General features: G+C 43.5%; 1 protein-coding gene across 59 annotated transcripts in view, besides 2 other annotated features; it reads right to left on the bottom strand.

Moving 5' to 3' along the window:
* The window catches only part of FGGY (FGGY carbohydrate kinase domain containing), a 466,353-nt gene that overhangs the window by 88,293 nt on the left and 362,454 nt on the right, over positions 1 to 15,606 (bottom strand). For 51 of the 59 annotated variants that reach the window (NR_103473.2, XM_011541731.2, XM_047424383.1 and 48 more), the window contains 3 exons: positions 14,145 to 14,219; positions 7,035 to 7,155; positions 305 to 399 (listed from right to left, as the gene is read on the bottom strand). Coding sequence is in view for 56 of the 59 variants with exons in the window: in XM_011541731.2 (XP_011540033.1) it covers positions 305 to 399; positions 7,035 to 7,155; positions 14,145 to 14,219 (291 nt within the window). In the remaining 3 variants the exon portion in view is untranslated. Of the gene's footprint in view, positions 1 to 304; positions 400 to 7,034; positions 7,156 to 13,111; positions 14,220 to 15,606 lie in introns of those variants that run through there. The other 8 variants (NM_001350798.2, XM_017001649.2, XM_017001652.2 and 5 more) reach the window with 3 other exon arrangements.
* Positions 398 to 925: an enhancer, noted in NCBI's record as "H3K4me1 hESC enhancer chr1:60139185-60139712 (GRCh37/hg19 assembly coordinates)". NCBI's record gives its function as "activates a minimal SCP1, AML or CMV promoter by ChIP-STARR-seq in primed H9 embryonic stem cells {active_cell/tissue: H9 hESC(primed)}" and the evidence as "EXISTENCE:reporter gene assay evidence [ECO:0000049][PMID:30033119]".
* Positions 4,586 to 5,140: an enhancer, noted in NCBI's record as "NANOG-H3K27ac-H3K4me1 hESC enhancer chr1:60134970-60135524 (GRCh37/hg19 assembly coordinates)". NCBI's record gives its function as "activates a minimal SCP1, AML or CMV promoter by ChIP-STARR-seq in primed H9 embryonic stem cells {active_cell/tissue: H9 hESC(primed)}" and the evidence as "EXISTENCE:reporter gene assay evidence [ECO:0000049][PMID:30033119]".

Below are 15,606 nucleotides of genomic sequence, written 5' to 3'. Positions count from 1 at the left end.
TGTTTCATGTGCTCAAAGAAAAGTGGTCAAGGGGAAATTTAAAAGGAATAATTTAAAAGGTATTTTAAAGAAGAAAGAAAAAAAACAACTGAAAAACAGAACGACCAACACGAACCGAGGCCAAGTCAAATGAAAACTGCAATAAATATGTCTGAGGCTAGAAGTGTTTGTGCTTTCCCTGGCTGGAACCTATCATTTCTTAATTATATCCTGTGTGTATTTTGTAAAATGCGAGCTGCTGTCAAGAGGAAGGATGGCCTCAGACAGGGGAGGAGCCACAGCCCACCCCCTGGTCTTCACATACCTGTACAGAAGCGAAATCCCCTGAGGCACAGGCACCCAGAACAGCAGCACCCACAAGAACGGACTCCACCTCTTGCGACAGGACCACAGGCATGCCTGCGCAGGACAAGGCCACACCTTGGTTAGGGAGCAGAGCCAGGGGAGTGTGAGGAGCCAACAAGCAGCCGCAGTGGCAAAAACACCTGACATCAGGGCAGCAGCAGGCCCCCCGCCCGACTCCCTGCAGTCCTCCCTTCTTTATTCCTTGGGATTATTTGGTTCTAAAAGATTTCACTGCCTGTGCCTGCTGGTGCAGTAGCCAAGAGCCCAAGGGAACCAACACCATATATATCAACTCACGAGACCTCAGTGCCCAGGTTTTTCAGGCTTCTGCAAGCTGCTACCTGCCATTTGATTCAAGTTCAGATCCACTGATGTTTATTAAGCGCTCTGCTGGCCGAGGGAATACTGAGATGAATCGGACTGTGCCCTGCTATTCAGGTTTCAGAGGGAAATGGATGAGAGAGATGAAGGCTACGGAGGGGGTTGGTTCTCTAACTGAGATGTGCTAAGGGAAAGGAGATAGCAAGAGAGGGTGTGATTCATCCCTCCAGGGGCTTCTCCCCTCTCTCAGGGTGCATGCCACAGCCCTTACAGTGGCTGACAAGGGGCTCTCCCTCCCAGATCTGGCCCCACTTCTCCCTCTCTGATATCCTCCTCTTCTCCTTCCAGCCACGTAGTCCTGGCCTCCTTGCTGCTTCCTGAGTGTGCCTCGGGGCCCTTACCCATGCTGTTCCCTGTCTGGAACACTTCCTCCTAGATGCCCACATGCTAATTGCCGGCCCATCCTTCAAGTGTTTCCGCAAACATCACCTTCCTACTGAGCTTTCCCTGGCCATCAGATTTAAAATTACAACTTCCCTCAACACTCCTTACCCCCTTAACTGCTTCATCCCACCTTCCAACATTGTATTTTACTTACTTATCTTGTTTAATGTCTGTCTCCCCTCCAAAAACTTAAGCTACTTGAGGGTAGGGACTCTGTTTTGACTACTGCGGAATCCCTGGCATTTAGACCAGTATCTAGCACATGGTAAGTGACTGAATGATGAGTCACTTACATTTCTGGGGTAGCGGTCATCACAGATTACGGTGGAGATGAGGCTTAAACAGGCATCTGAAGGGTGAGCAGGAGTCCACCAGGCAGGGAGGAGCCCTCCATATGCCAATGCCCAGAGGTTGAGGGTTCATGGTAGGTTTAAGATTAACAGAAATAATTTAGGATTCTTAGGTCTATAATGTATAGATTAGTCTGCTAATCGGGAGATGGCAGCAAACTTTACAGAGGTAAACTTGTGGTGTAAAAACTGTCTTCTACTCAAGCCATAAGAGTTATTTTCCCAAAGCCTAGATTTCTTTTCCTATCTTGTCTGAGAAGACACTCTCTCTACATCCCATTACTTCCCCACTCAATTCTTTCCTCCAGCTACCCAGAGAAAAAGGGCAGGGGAGTAAATTCCCACAGACACCCCAGAGAATTTAGGAATACCAGCTCTCAACTGGGCCAGGACTTAAGACATTGCCAACATGGTGTCAGGTGGGGTGGGAATGCTGGGAGAAGCTCAGACCTGAGTTTATTTCCTGGTTCCACTAGCTCTGTGTCCAGTAAGTCACTTACACTCTTTAAGCCTTGGTTCCCAAATGCAAATGGGGATCATCCCAAATGTAAAATGGGGATGATGATAAGATGTACCACACAGGTGTGTTGTGAGGCTTAATGAGAGGGCACACACTTGGTGCTTAGCATATTTCCTGGCCTACAGTAAGCCCTGGAGAAATGATGGCTGCTACTGTTAGAATTCAGGTAGATGGCAAGTGAAGCCTCTATGCATGTACTAGACCTGGACTAAAAACTGGATAAGTGGGGAAGGGACAATAAAGGTTCCCATCAACCATCCAGAGGGGAAGGACAGATGCCAGGCCACACTACAGGGCTGTGCTGACACCAGCAGGAGAGAGCACTGCAAGCCGTTGAAGAATCCTAGGAATGATACAGATGGGTGTGCGACTATGACCATCAAGCCTTCTCTATGGACCTGGGACGTTTTTGAAGACAGTGCCTCCAAACACCATTCACTTCCCGGGCCTTCCTACCCTGCCAAAAGCTCCCTGAGTTGTGAGCAGGGAGGAACTACTCACAGGCCCCTCCCCTTGCGAACCAGAGATGTGAGTGAACCTGGTGAATCCCCTATCAGCTCTCAAGTTGCTGCCCAAAGTGCTCTGAACCCAGACTGCCAGGGTTTGAATCCTGGCTTCCCCACTGACTTAGCTGTGTGATCCTAGGCAAGATACCTAATCTTTCCGTGCCTCAGCTTTCTCATCTGAAAAATGGGGTTAAAATTCCGCCTATCTCATAGAGTTGCTGTGAGAATTAAAACTGCTATTATAATAAGGCTCTTAAAATGGTGCTTGGCTTAGAGAAAGCACTAAATTAGCATTAGTTGTTATTCTTAAAGTTTACCTTACTTCTGAAGTCTCTCCTCACACCTGTTACCCAGGGTGAAATCAATCCACTGCTTCCATTTGCCTCTAAGACCAATCCCACCTCTTCCCTTCCTCCCTCCACCTACTCTGAGCCTGGGAGACTGGCCAGTGGGGATCACAGCTGTGGGCCCCTGCCCTCTGGTTTCATCCTTGGCTAAGCTTCTGCTGGGCTGCCCTCTTCACACATCCCACCAGGCTCAGATTGCCTGCTCCCTACCCTCACCCTTGTGAGCCCAGGGGTGGAAACACTGTTAGTATCCCAAGGTACTTCTTGGTTGTCTGGGCTTCCAGCACCCTGCCCACAGCTCTGTACACTGACTATTCAACTTCCCTCCGGTTAACCTAACTGGAGTGTGTATCTGTTCCCTGCCTGGACCTGACTGACACCGACACATTTTGTCCTCTGGGTCCCCACTCTACTCACTCTGGATATTGGTCATAAGACCAAGGGCACTTTTTCTGTGTTTTATAAAGAACCTCTTGGCTGGACATTACTGTTCTTCTTAGCATCCCTGTGCCAACCTCAGGGCTTGGCACACTGGTGTGCACAGAGAATGCTTTTGAGTGAATAAATGAAAGAACAAATAATTAAAATAATGAGTAAGACCAGAAGAGGGAAACCCCTACTGAAACTACCAGTACTAAAAAATAAAACTTAGAAGAAGGAACATTTAGTCCCAAGTCAGTGGGGGAAACTTAACAATTACTTAGTACATACCAAGTATTTCTTGAAACCACAGTTAACCAAATGACCAGGGTACAAGGAGGTTCTTCCTCCTCATGTAGACAGCATTTCCCAAGCTGGCAAGGCCCCGCTCTCCCTGCTTGTACAGAGCAGGCTGTTCTCAACATGGCAAAGATTCACTTTCAAAATAATAAGCTGCTTTTTTTTTTCCCTCAAATGCCCCTCTTTCTTTTTGGCATGGGGCTTCCTAGATGGAATAAGAGAATTGACATTTACTGATCACCTACTTGGACTAGGCACAGAGTTTGATGCTCACAAACTCGCAAGCATTTATTCCTCAGCAGTGATCTACATGAGGGAGATGATAATGTTTTTTGGTTTGTTTGTTTCAGAAGAGGGAACTGAGGCTCAGAGAGGTAAAGTAACTTGCCCAAAGTCACAGAGCTGATCTGCTTTTTCCACTGTTCCACACTATCTCCAAAAAAATCTCCCAAATTCGAATGTGTTTTTCACATGCATTTCTGAGAATCATGTTCCAGGTCTACAGTCCTCCCTAACTGTCTTTGTAGGAAAACTAGAGCAATACAATGTTTAAAGGCACCAATGACACTACCTCTATACTGGCTGCTTGTGTACGTGCCTTTTACAGGGACAAATGCAAATGTGTTCTTTTCTCTGAGTCCTGGGTGAAGGAGAGGAAGAGGGCAGCTTTGGCTGGAATGTGAACTATTTTATCTGATGCATTAATGAGTTTAGCAGAACCCAAAGCATTCAAAGGCAGATGCACTTTGCCATCACTTGTCAGTCACAGGCTTCCAAAGGCAGAGGAATTCCAGGCTAAATAAAAGGTCTCTTTGTCTGGAACTGTAACTGGTCCATAGTTAGAGACAAAAGGTCCAGTTTCAATCGGAATCCAAATAACGATTAACAGCCTTTTCATTCAACAGCCTAGAGGAGAACAGTTTCCAAAGCAGAACTTTCTGTGAAGCCGCTGCACTCCCCGCCGTGCTTCTGAGTCAGCCCAGGGATGTAGGGCCTGGAAGATGACCCATTTTCACAAAGTCCAGGGCTGCAGCGCGGAGTCAGTGCCGGGGTCACTCACAGCTAGCTGTTCTGCTCTGGGAGGCCCTGTTTCCCATTTTCTAGAGTACTGTGTTCTCCAAAGCTGACTTTCATCTTTCCTCTTGCATCCAGATAGGAAGTTTTTTGGCTATCAGAAGGCTGGAAATTGGGGCCGGGTGCGGTGGCTCATGCCTGTAATCCCAGAACTTTGGGAGGCCAAGGCGGGTGGATCACTTGAGGTCAGGAGTTCAAGACCAGCCTGGCCAACATGGTGAAACCCTGTCTCTACCAAAAAATACAAAAAAAAAAAAAAAAAAAAAAAAAGAAGTCTAGAAATTGGAATGTCACAGATCAAATTTTAAGCTTGAATGTTATCTGAACTAGCCAGCTGATTTTTAGATAAAATGTTATGGTTTTTCTCCTGAGGACAATTATAAGGCAATCTGGGCTCTTTTTATGTCTTTCCTCCTTCTGCTTTGAACGGCCCACTTCTATAGGGTTTTGGACATCTCAGGAAAGTGGCGTCATCATCAACTGGTTACAAACTTGGCAGAAAAGTCAAGAAACCTGGGTCAGCAGTACAGTACAAAGGGACGGTGGGCCCCGACACACCACAGTTACAATATTGGTCCTGCCCCATACTGGCTGTTTGACTTTAGATAGCCAATTTAATTCACCTACCCACCCATCAACTTGCTTGTCTGTAAGATGGGGGCACCGATTTCTACCTTTGGTGGTATGGGAGGATTAAGTGTCTACAGCGTGATTCACACTGACACATAGTAGGTGCTTGGTTAATGGTAATACTTTCTATACTTCACATCCCAATAGTTCTGCCCTTAGACTGTATGCTTTTTTTTTTTTTTTTTTTTTGAGATGGAGTTTTGCTCTTGTTGCCCAGGCTGGAGTGCAATGGCGCAATCTCGGCTCACTGCAACCTCCGCCTCCCAGGTTCAAGCAATTCTCCTGCCTCAGCCTCCCCAGTAGCTGGGATTACAGGCATGCGCCACCACGCCTGGCTAATTTTTTTTTTTTTGTATTTTTAGTAGAGATGGGGTTTCTCCATATTGGTCAGGCTGGTCTCGAACTCCTGACCTCAGGTGATCCGCCCACCTCGGCCTCCCAAAGTGTGGGGATCACAGGCGTGAGCCACCGTGCCCGGCTGACTGTATGCTTTTCTTACTGTCCTCAGACTTGTGTCTCAGTCTGCTTATCTCTAAGCTGGGAATAAGTGACTTACTTAGTTTCATCTCATGATGTGCAAAGATCAGTTACGTCCATCGTGTTAGACAAGGCTCTCATCTGCAGGAATCTGTGTGGCTTAGAGGGGGATGGAGGATATAATGGGGCAGGGACTTTGACCTGGCCAGAAGTCAGAGGTAAGAAAGTAGGGGATGAGGGACAGCAAAGGATAATGATAAATGGAGGTAGGGTCAAGTGGGCTCTTATCAGGCTGGAGTTGGGACTATGGGATGGGTACAACCCTTCCCCACTTTCCCTCCCCTTGCCCTGCCCTGGTGGTACCTGGCCACCCAGTGATGGGTCCTGGGAGAGAATGGGTCTCCAGTCCCCAGGAGACACTAGAGGGGCAAGGAGTAAAAGGGGTGAGGGTATCAGGTCCAGAGAGACAGAGGTCCAGGCCACTCTCTGCGACAACAGAAAGCCTCCTGCCAATGGGGCCCCTTCCTTGGGTCCTAGGGGCTTGCTAAGGATCCTTCTCCCCCACTGTCTGCTGATATCACAAAGAGCTCAGCCCATTATTTGTGATTCCCTGCATCTCTATTATGATCCCTGATTCTGATGAGCTGAGAAGGAATCACAGGATCTCAGGGTCTTAGGGCTCAAATTCCCAGTCTGCAATCATACCCACAGATCCTATAGCATCCAGCCTCTGCATTCTTTCTTCAAGACAGCTTTCTTATCACTTCTTCCAGACCACACGCCCTGAGCTGCCATTAGGTCCCAAACCAGACAAGGTGCCCCACTATGTTTCCATGATACCCCGTACTTTTCTCACGCCAAGCTTTTGCCATACTATCTTTAATATGCCTGTTTGCTGTCTCCCTTCCTCAATAGACTGTGAGTTCCTGGGTGGTGGGGAGCAAGGATCATGTCCTATTCATCTTCGTATCTTCAATATTCTCCACAATGTGTGGATCAGAAGAGGTATTCAAAACTGTTGTGTAAATGCTTGAATTAAGATCTAGTCCTGGCCAACTTCTCTCGTGTTATTTCTCACCATTATTCAATGGTTGGATATACACAGAAATCACTTTCTCCATCATGCATATAAAGACGTCATAGAAGTCACTTTCTCCATTGTGAATATAAAGACTTCAGGATTATTCTAATAATCTGGCATACCGCATATATCCTCCTATTCTCACTTCACCCAGAACTTGGCCATGCCCATTTGCTGCCAAGCCAAAAAGTGACCTTCTCTCCTCTTTCCCAGACTTACCAGTAATGTCCGCATGCATTTGCACAAAAAGGGGATTCTTGCTGAGGCCTCCACATAGGAAAAGAGTACTGATTGAGTGCCCTGCTGCCTCCATGGCTTCTATAATGAAGCGAGTCCCCAACTTGAAAGGAAAAGCAGAAGATAGCATCAGTATAGTCACAAAAGTAAACACTAGGGAACACTTCTTAAATGTCTACTCAGTGCTAGACACTGTACTAAGCTCTACATACACTATCTCAGAAAGCTGAGACTCACAGAGATTATGTTGTCTATGATCACACAGTTACTTAAATCGCAGAGTGGGAATTTCAAGTTGGGCCTGACTGATTCCAAAACCCTCTTAATTACACCATTTGCTTCTATCAGTAGTTACACAACACTGACAAAAACAGTTGACAATGTCAACACAGTTAATGGTAACATAGTTCATTCAAACAGATATTTAATGAGTGTCTACTATAGCCCAGGCCCTGTATTAGCAGTGATTGCAATAGTACTCTGAAACAGAGTCAATGGTATCTTGGTCAGTCTTCCTTTACTAAATGGGAACTAAAGGCTTTTTCCTTAGAAAAAGCACCAAAAAATCCAGCAGCAGAATCATGGAAAGAGGGCTCTAACTGCATAAAGAAGGTGAGATCCAAGGCTTCAGGGTGGCTAAGGGCTAAAATTACCGCTGCTATTGCCTGAAACCAGGTAGTGGTTCTCTAAAAGGAGACTTCTGAGCCAAATCCATTCCCTGGTTGTTTCAGGGCTTCACCATATTTTCAATTCAGCCTTGTGTCTCAGTTCTTGTGCATTAATATCTTCCTAATATGCATTATCCTCATGTCTGTCTTGCTAAGTTCATTAAACTCAGTAAAAACCATTATTGCCTTAGAGTTATGGAAGTGAATCTCAATGTAGAATTCTTCAGTTTTAGATAGGATAGTTGAACATCTGAAAAATCTTAATTTACTTGAAAGTTCAAAAACTAGAGTTCGAAAATCAAAATTTATTTGGGATAAGGACTAAAAACAAAAAGATGAACTGTGATGTGGCCATAAGGGGGCAGCCACATGGTGATGTTTGAGAAAGGGGCTCCAGAAAAAATAGAGGAAGAGGATTTTTTGGTGGGTAGCAAGTCTTTGAAATGTTTAGAGATTGAGCAATCTGGGGAGATGTCACAGTCCTAAGTGTAGACCTGGGAGTGAATTGCTAAAAAGGAGGGAAGAGAAGTCAGAAGAGATAAGAAAGTCAAGGATCTGGGAGGACAATGTGTCTCCACAGATGGCACAGCCACCAAGAAGAAGGCATGAGCCAATATCTTGGTTTTTAGTGAAAGTGTGACAGTATTGTTCAGGTTGAAACCTAGGAATGTAGTGAGGGAGAGGAGGTGTTTTAGCTGAGGGCAAGAAGAATCGGAGTTTAGCCAAGGTAAGGAATAGGGTTTTGGGCCGGGCGCGGTGGCTCACGCCTGTAATCCCAGCACTTTGGGAGGCCAAGGCGGGCGGATCATGAGGTCAGGAGATCGGGACCATCCTGGCTAATATGGTGAAACCCCATCTCTACTAAAAATACAAAAAAATAGCTGGGCGTGGTGACGGGCACCTGTAGTGCAAGCTACTTGGGAGGCTGAGGCAGGAGAATGGTGTGAACCTGGGAGGTGGAGCTTGCAGTGAGCCGAGATCACACCATTGCACTCCAGCCTGGGCAATAGAGCAACACTCCATCTCAAAAAAAAAAAAGGAACAGGGTTTTGGAAGTCAGCAGGATGCTGCCCTGACCTCACGTCTTAGGGGGGTTGGGGGTAGAGGGCAAATGGAGCCTCCTTTGACAAGGCTGTCTGGGGAGCTGTCACCCCAGGGGATGGGGGAACCTGGGGACAGGAGTGGTCAGAGGGTGATCTGGGAACCATAGGACATGAAATCCTAATTGGTTTGGCATAAATCATGAGGGACAGGGGCAGTTCAGGAGCAAAAGGCACAGCAGTTCTAGCCCAGAGGTCTTGAGGGTTTGTTGAAGCTATTCATGAATCTGGTAAAAATATGGATTAGGTAAAACCTGGGCCTCCATAAACAATCTACAGATGTAGTGTGTTTAAAAAAATTCAAACATGTTGTGCCATATAAGGCCAGATCCTACATACTAACTAGGGCTGATTATTCCCAGATGTTCTTTGTTAAGCTTTTTGGGGGGTCATGAACCCCCTTGAGAATATGCCAAAACCTACTGACCTCCCCAGAAAAAAAAAGTCACATACAAAATAGTACTATAAATAATTTCAGGAGGTCTACAGATGCCTGAAGTCCATCATGGATCATTTGATGCCTGTGGATTCTGGGCAACCCCAGTCTGCTCTAACGGCATGAATTGTAGTAGCTAAGAGCATGAGTTTTGAATTCAAAAAACCCAGGCTGGCATTTAGGCATTTCACATATTTCTTGTACCTTAACCTTTCTATAACTCAATTGCCATTTTTTTTTTTGCCATGGGAATAATAGTATCATATTCATTTAGTTAAAAATTCTATAGATTGTCAGAAATGTCAACATGCAAAAAAATTAAAAATGTGGTCTTAGGCTTGATGAAATCTAGTAATACCTACCATACAAGTCTGCTGCTGTAGGCAGCAAAGGTAAAACTTGTAGAAGTGTCCAGCTCACGAAAGGTGCATACAAGGAGAGTTCTTCTGGTTATCAACTATATGCTAGGCACTCTGCTATGCACTTTAATAGCATCTCTAATCTTAAGGCAAATGTGAAACCTGCATATTGTTTTCTCCACTTAGGAGATATATAATTTGACTAAGCAATACAGTCTGTATGGAATGGGAGAATTGCTGTCTCCTAATTTGTATGGAAATGTCAGGAAAAACTGGTATCTTTGATATTTCTAAAACCAGGGACCTAGGGGCTTGCGATTAGCAGGCCTGAGACAAGAATAAAACAAAGCACATTTCCTGGGAAAAGGAAAGAAATGATCCGAATGAGAGGCACTCCCTCGAGAGGGGCTGTGACAGACAGCCTGTCTCTCCCCCATGTGGTATTGTCGGCTGGAATTTCCCACTCAGTCTGGCGGTTCCTTAGAGGACCTTCCCTTTCGGTGTCCCAGACTCCAATCTGTGTAATACTCCACCCTACTGAAATGCCCCACCAAAGGGCTTTGTGTGAAAATGATTTTGTGCTCACCTTTCTGGAAAAAATGTTTTCACAGAGAAATTTAAATTAAAATTAGGCTATTCCACTGGGAATGTACAGAACCGAATGCAAATCAAGAGACTTCAAATGCAAATAGTACCTTTTAAGGGTCTGTTCTGCAAAGAAAACTATAGATGAACAGGCTATGGATAAACCGGGTGGTTGACAGGTCTTTCAATTAAGCATGATCAAGAGAGAATTTTACTTCATGGAGGGTTTTGCACAGTCCCAAGTTAACTTGATTACAATCCTCTTTAATTTCATTTCACCCCTACAAAACAGCACCCAAAGATATGACTATATATAGAGAGAAATTTGCTTAACTTTCAGTTGACCGACAACAAATAAGTGCTCCGGCAATATTCAGGGCTAATGAAACAACATTTTTTTTTCCCAAGTTGAACATTATGGGAAAATATCTGTTATCAGAATACCTCATTAAAATGCACATTTTTTTGCCTAAAAGATCAGCACATCCAGATACATTTGCAAAACAGACTGAACCCCTCACAATTCACTTGACTCCACAAAAAAGGCTTATTGAAAAAAATCTCTGTCTTAAAATGCCTTCCTTTCATGGTATTATAAAGGTCATTAAGACAATGGACAGAATAAATATGATAGCTTTTAATACATGTACGGCCCATTAAATACAAGATTGATTTTCCAAGTGTGTGGTACTTGAGAAAATGTAGCTGGCTTTTTTTCTTCCCCTCTCCTGCCCGCATTAAGTTTAACCTCATTTATACATTTCTGGACTTCTGCTGCAGTACTCTTACCAGGAAAGGAACCTCTGTGAGACAATCCTGGCCAAATTAATGATATTTTCTAATATATATTAAGTAAAAACGATTCTTAGGAATATCTGAAAGCTTATTTCACCCATGTAGCTTTTACAAACAGATCAAAGGAAAATGCAGCATGGTAAAGTGGAAAGAGCAGAAGCCTGGGAGTGAGATGGAGAAAGGTTCAGATTCCAACTACCATACTCTAGCTGTTTGACCTCGGCAAATGGTCCTCCCCTTGTCTGTAAAATGAGAACAAACCCACCTACTTACAGGGTTACAGTGTTAAGCTACCAGTAGGCAAGGCACCGTCTTTGGTGCCTGGCACACAGTCGTGTCTGACGAAAGGTAACTGTCATTACCACTATGTGATGGTGCCCCTTGGTCCCTCCTGTTTGCCTCATCCTTCATGTCCTCCTCTTAGCATGTGCTCAAAAGGGGGAATATCACACCACTCTGATTTTCCAAGATTATTCATTTCAATATAAGCTATTCATTCTATGACTCTTTTATACAATAACATTAACAAATCTGAAAATAAAAGTTCCTCAATACAGTCAAATGTCCTTTAACCATGGGAATACATTGTGAGAAATGCATTGTTAGGTGATTTTGTCATGCAAACATCATAGAGTGTACTTCCACAAACCTAGATGGTATAGCCTACTACATACCTAGGCTATATATAGTATGGCCTATTGCACCTGGGCTACAAACTTATACGGCATGGTATTGTACTGAATACTGTAGGCAACTGTACCACAATGGTAAATATTTGTGTATCTGAACATATCTAAACATAGAAAAGGTACAGTAAACATACAGTATCATAATCTTATAGGACCACCATCATATAGGAAGTCCCTCGTTAACCAAAACGTTATGTAGCAGATGACTGTACTTCACATGTCTAATTTTGTTTTAGAATGCTGGGGGTTCAAATCCCACCTCTGCCACAAGCTATATGGCCCTGCACAAGTTAATTAATCACACAGAGCCTTAGGTTTCTAGTTTGTGGAATAGGAATTATAATATCTACGTAGTAAGGTTAAATCAGGTGTGTGTAATGTATCTAGCACAGTGCTTGGCACATATAAAATCTCTCTCTTTTTTTTTTTTTTTTGAGATGGAGTCTCGCTCTGTGACCCAGGCTGGAGTGCAGTGGCGCGATCTCAGTTCACTGCAAGCTCCGCCTCCCGGGTTCATGCCATTCTCCTGCCTCAGCCTCCTGAGTAGCTGGGACTACAGGTGCCCGCCACCATGCCTGGCTAATTTTTGTATTTTTAGTAGAGACAGGGTTTCACCATGTTAGCCGGGATAGTCTCGATCTCCTGACCTCGTGATCTGCCCTCTTTGGCCTCCCAAAGTGCTGGGATTACAGGCGTTGAGTCACCGCGCCTGGCCTATAAAATACCTCTTAACTCGGCCAGGTGCGGTGGCTCATGCCTGTAATCCCAGCACTTTGGGAGGCCGAGACGGGTGGATCATCAGGTCAGGAGATCCAGACTATCCTGGCCAACATGGTGAAACCCCATCTCTACTAAAAATACAAAAAATCAGCTGGGCATGGTGGCATGCGCCTGTAGTCCAAGCTACTCGGGAGGCTGAGGCAGAAGAATCGCTTGAACCCAGGAGGTGGAGCTTGCAGTGAGCCAAGATCGCTCCACTCTACTCCAGCCTGGCAACAGAGCGAGACTCTGTCTCAAAACAAAAACAAAAACAAAAACAAAAACAAAAACAAAAACAAAACACCCTCTTAATTCACTCATTATTATCATCATAATCATCATTATTATTATAAAACAGGACAGCTAAATAATTATCTTTACTACTGATGCACACTTTTTTTCTCTATTTTCATCTTACTGTTCATTTCCTACATTTTTACAGATGTCAGAATTGTGTGCTTTTGACCAAGTTTCCATGCATAAAGATATTTGACTGATTTCACTGAATTGGCCAAGCTATTAAGACCAATAAGAAAATTGCTTCAGGAAGATATAGTAAAACTAGTGTAGAATCTAAAAGGGCTGTTTAATCAAGTTGACTGATTCCATACTTCTATGTAGTTGCATTAAAGAAGTTATATCCCTTCAGTATTAGTATTATTACTATCTGGGAGGTTCCATTCTTTATTGCACATACATGGTGCATGGACAAATCTGAGCATTAAAAAAGCACTTCTGTTGGTGGTGTGAATAAATATACATATAGTTTAAAGGAATAAAGTTATGAAAACAGTTGTGTGAAGAAACAGAATAATTGAATATCATATATGTACGTATAGCATTAAACATATTTGCTTAAAACAGGTGTTACTGAAAAATAAATTTTGAATTAAAATTAGATAAACTGATTTTTCCTTTCTGTTAATTCCTATTCTCTTTTCAGAAGTGGCTAAGCCTCACTGGATTAACTTAATTTCGGTTACATACCTGCTGTGAGACCCCGAACACCATGATCTACTCTCCTAAAATGCACTTTGTAATATATGCACACACACAACCTTCTGGATGTGATTTCAGGATTAGAACCCTCTTGTAGCCCATCCATAGCCACCTCTAGATAAGAAGATTCTTTAGACAATGGTTAAGCTTTTAGGATTTCATTTCCATTTTTGATTTATCTTTAGTGTAGAAACTCCTAACATTTCAGATTTAAATTCCCCTCTTCCTCCCTAATCATCCTAACCTCACTTAAGCAGCTAATTATCTAAAAACAAACACTTTCATGTTCTAAGGAAGCTTACTATTTAAAGGACCCCTATCATGAATCCTTTTGCAAAGTGAACAATATAATGTATTTTATAAATCAGACATTCTTAACAACTTTTCTTAATGCAAGCATACATAGCATCTGTTTGCTTGCTTCTATTTAATTAAATTTAGAAGACAAATTAGATAAATGACAAGTATAATCTTCACAGATTTTAACTCCTTTCAGCTTTTTGTTATGTGAGGTTATTAGTTAAAGCAGGTGAGGCCTTTCATCAACACTTCCTTCCAGACATACAAGAATCTCTTTTTTGCAAACAATCTTTTAATTAAGAATCTCTGTCACAAAAGCATGTGCTGTATCTTGGGGAGCCAGTGGCCTAGAGTATACTGATGGCTCTAAGTCTCTTTAAAAATGGCATTACAGTATCTTACAGCAATGGCTTGAACTGTGGCCAGGTAGAGAATGGCAAGATCATCAAGGTCCTGAGACAGTTTCAATCCGGTGACCTGCAGGCATGAAGGGAAGAAAAGAAGAAGATGGTCAAAAGAAGCTGCCGTGGATAAAGATAGTTCCCATGAAATACGTTCAGATGTGTTTTCTTGCCGAAACAAGTTCATATGCAAATCCCCTTTTTGTGAGCGGAACGTGAAATGCCTATTAAGTTGTTTAATCTCCAGACCTGGGAAAAACTATCCCTTCCTCCCCAAGAGAAAATACCCTGACCTTAAACAAAAACAAAACAAATACCACAGGAAGATTATGTTTGATATTTCTTAGACGATAATTAAATACTTTTTATTTTAAAACATTTTCTTTTCTTACAAATACCTATTTTCTGTGGCTTACAAGAAATCAACACTAACAGTGGCATTCTAGTACAAGATGATCTTGTTTTGAGTTCTGCTACTGTCAGACTTCAGTGTAACAGCATTCAGTGTCCAATCCAGGGTAATATAATATGTCTCCTACAAATATTATACCTACTAGGGGATAACTTAGAATCTGTGGGTTGCAAGGGGATCCCATTAAAGTCAATCAGAATCGGATGTTTATATGGAGTATGTCAATCTCTGAGAGAGTCCAGAACTGAACAGGATGCCGGATTTGTATGCCATCAGGACTTGCTCACAGTCCTGCTTTCATGTCTCCCACTCATCAAGGTGTTCTCTTGGGACATTTCTAAAGGGTGAGGGCTGCTGGGTTCTTCAAGCCGAGCCCAACTTTTGTGGGCATCAGCACCATAGTTCACTTTAGATTATCACATTATAAAATTAATTCACCAACATTCATTTACTCAGTTCCTATGGTGTGTGTTGTCCTGAGCTCAACCAGGTATGGACATGCGGTTTGCATCAAAATAAGGGAGCTGAGTGGTCTACCTAGGTCCCTTCCTTCATATTCTCTGGCCCCATTTAATTACTCTCTCCAGATTTCACCCTGAACCCCACTGCAATTGGCTTATGACAGTGCACAGGCACCATTCAGTTACCCAAACCAGGAAACTTGGGAACCCTCTTTTTTTTGAGACAGAGTCTTGCTTTGTCTCCCAGGCTGGAGTGCAGTGGTGTGATCTTGGCTCACTGCAACCTCCACCTCCTGGGTTCAAGCAGTTCTGCTGCCTCAGCCTCCCCAGTAGCTGGAATTACAGATGTATACCACCACATCTGGCTAATTTTTTTGTATTTTTAGTAGCCAGGCTGGTCTCAAACTCCTGACCTCATATGATACACCTGCCTTGGCTTCCCAAAGTGCTGGGATTACAGTTGTGAACCACTGCGCCTGGCCAGAAGCCATCTTTCTTGACCTCCCCTGTCTTCCCATATTTAAGCAGTCTCAAAGTTTTGTACATTTGATCTCCCAAATCTCTTTTGAATGCATCTCCTTTTCTTGATC

This window comes from Homo sapiens, chromosome 1 (genome assembly GCF_000001405.40).
Source record: "Homo sapiens chromosome 1, GRCh38.p14 Primary Assembly".
In the NCBI taxonomy this organism is placed as follows: domain Eukaryota; kingdom Metazoa; phylum Chordata; class Mammalia; order Primates; family Hominidae; genus Homo; species Homo sapiens.
This window is presented reverse-complemented; position numbering and strand designations above follow the sequence as displayed.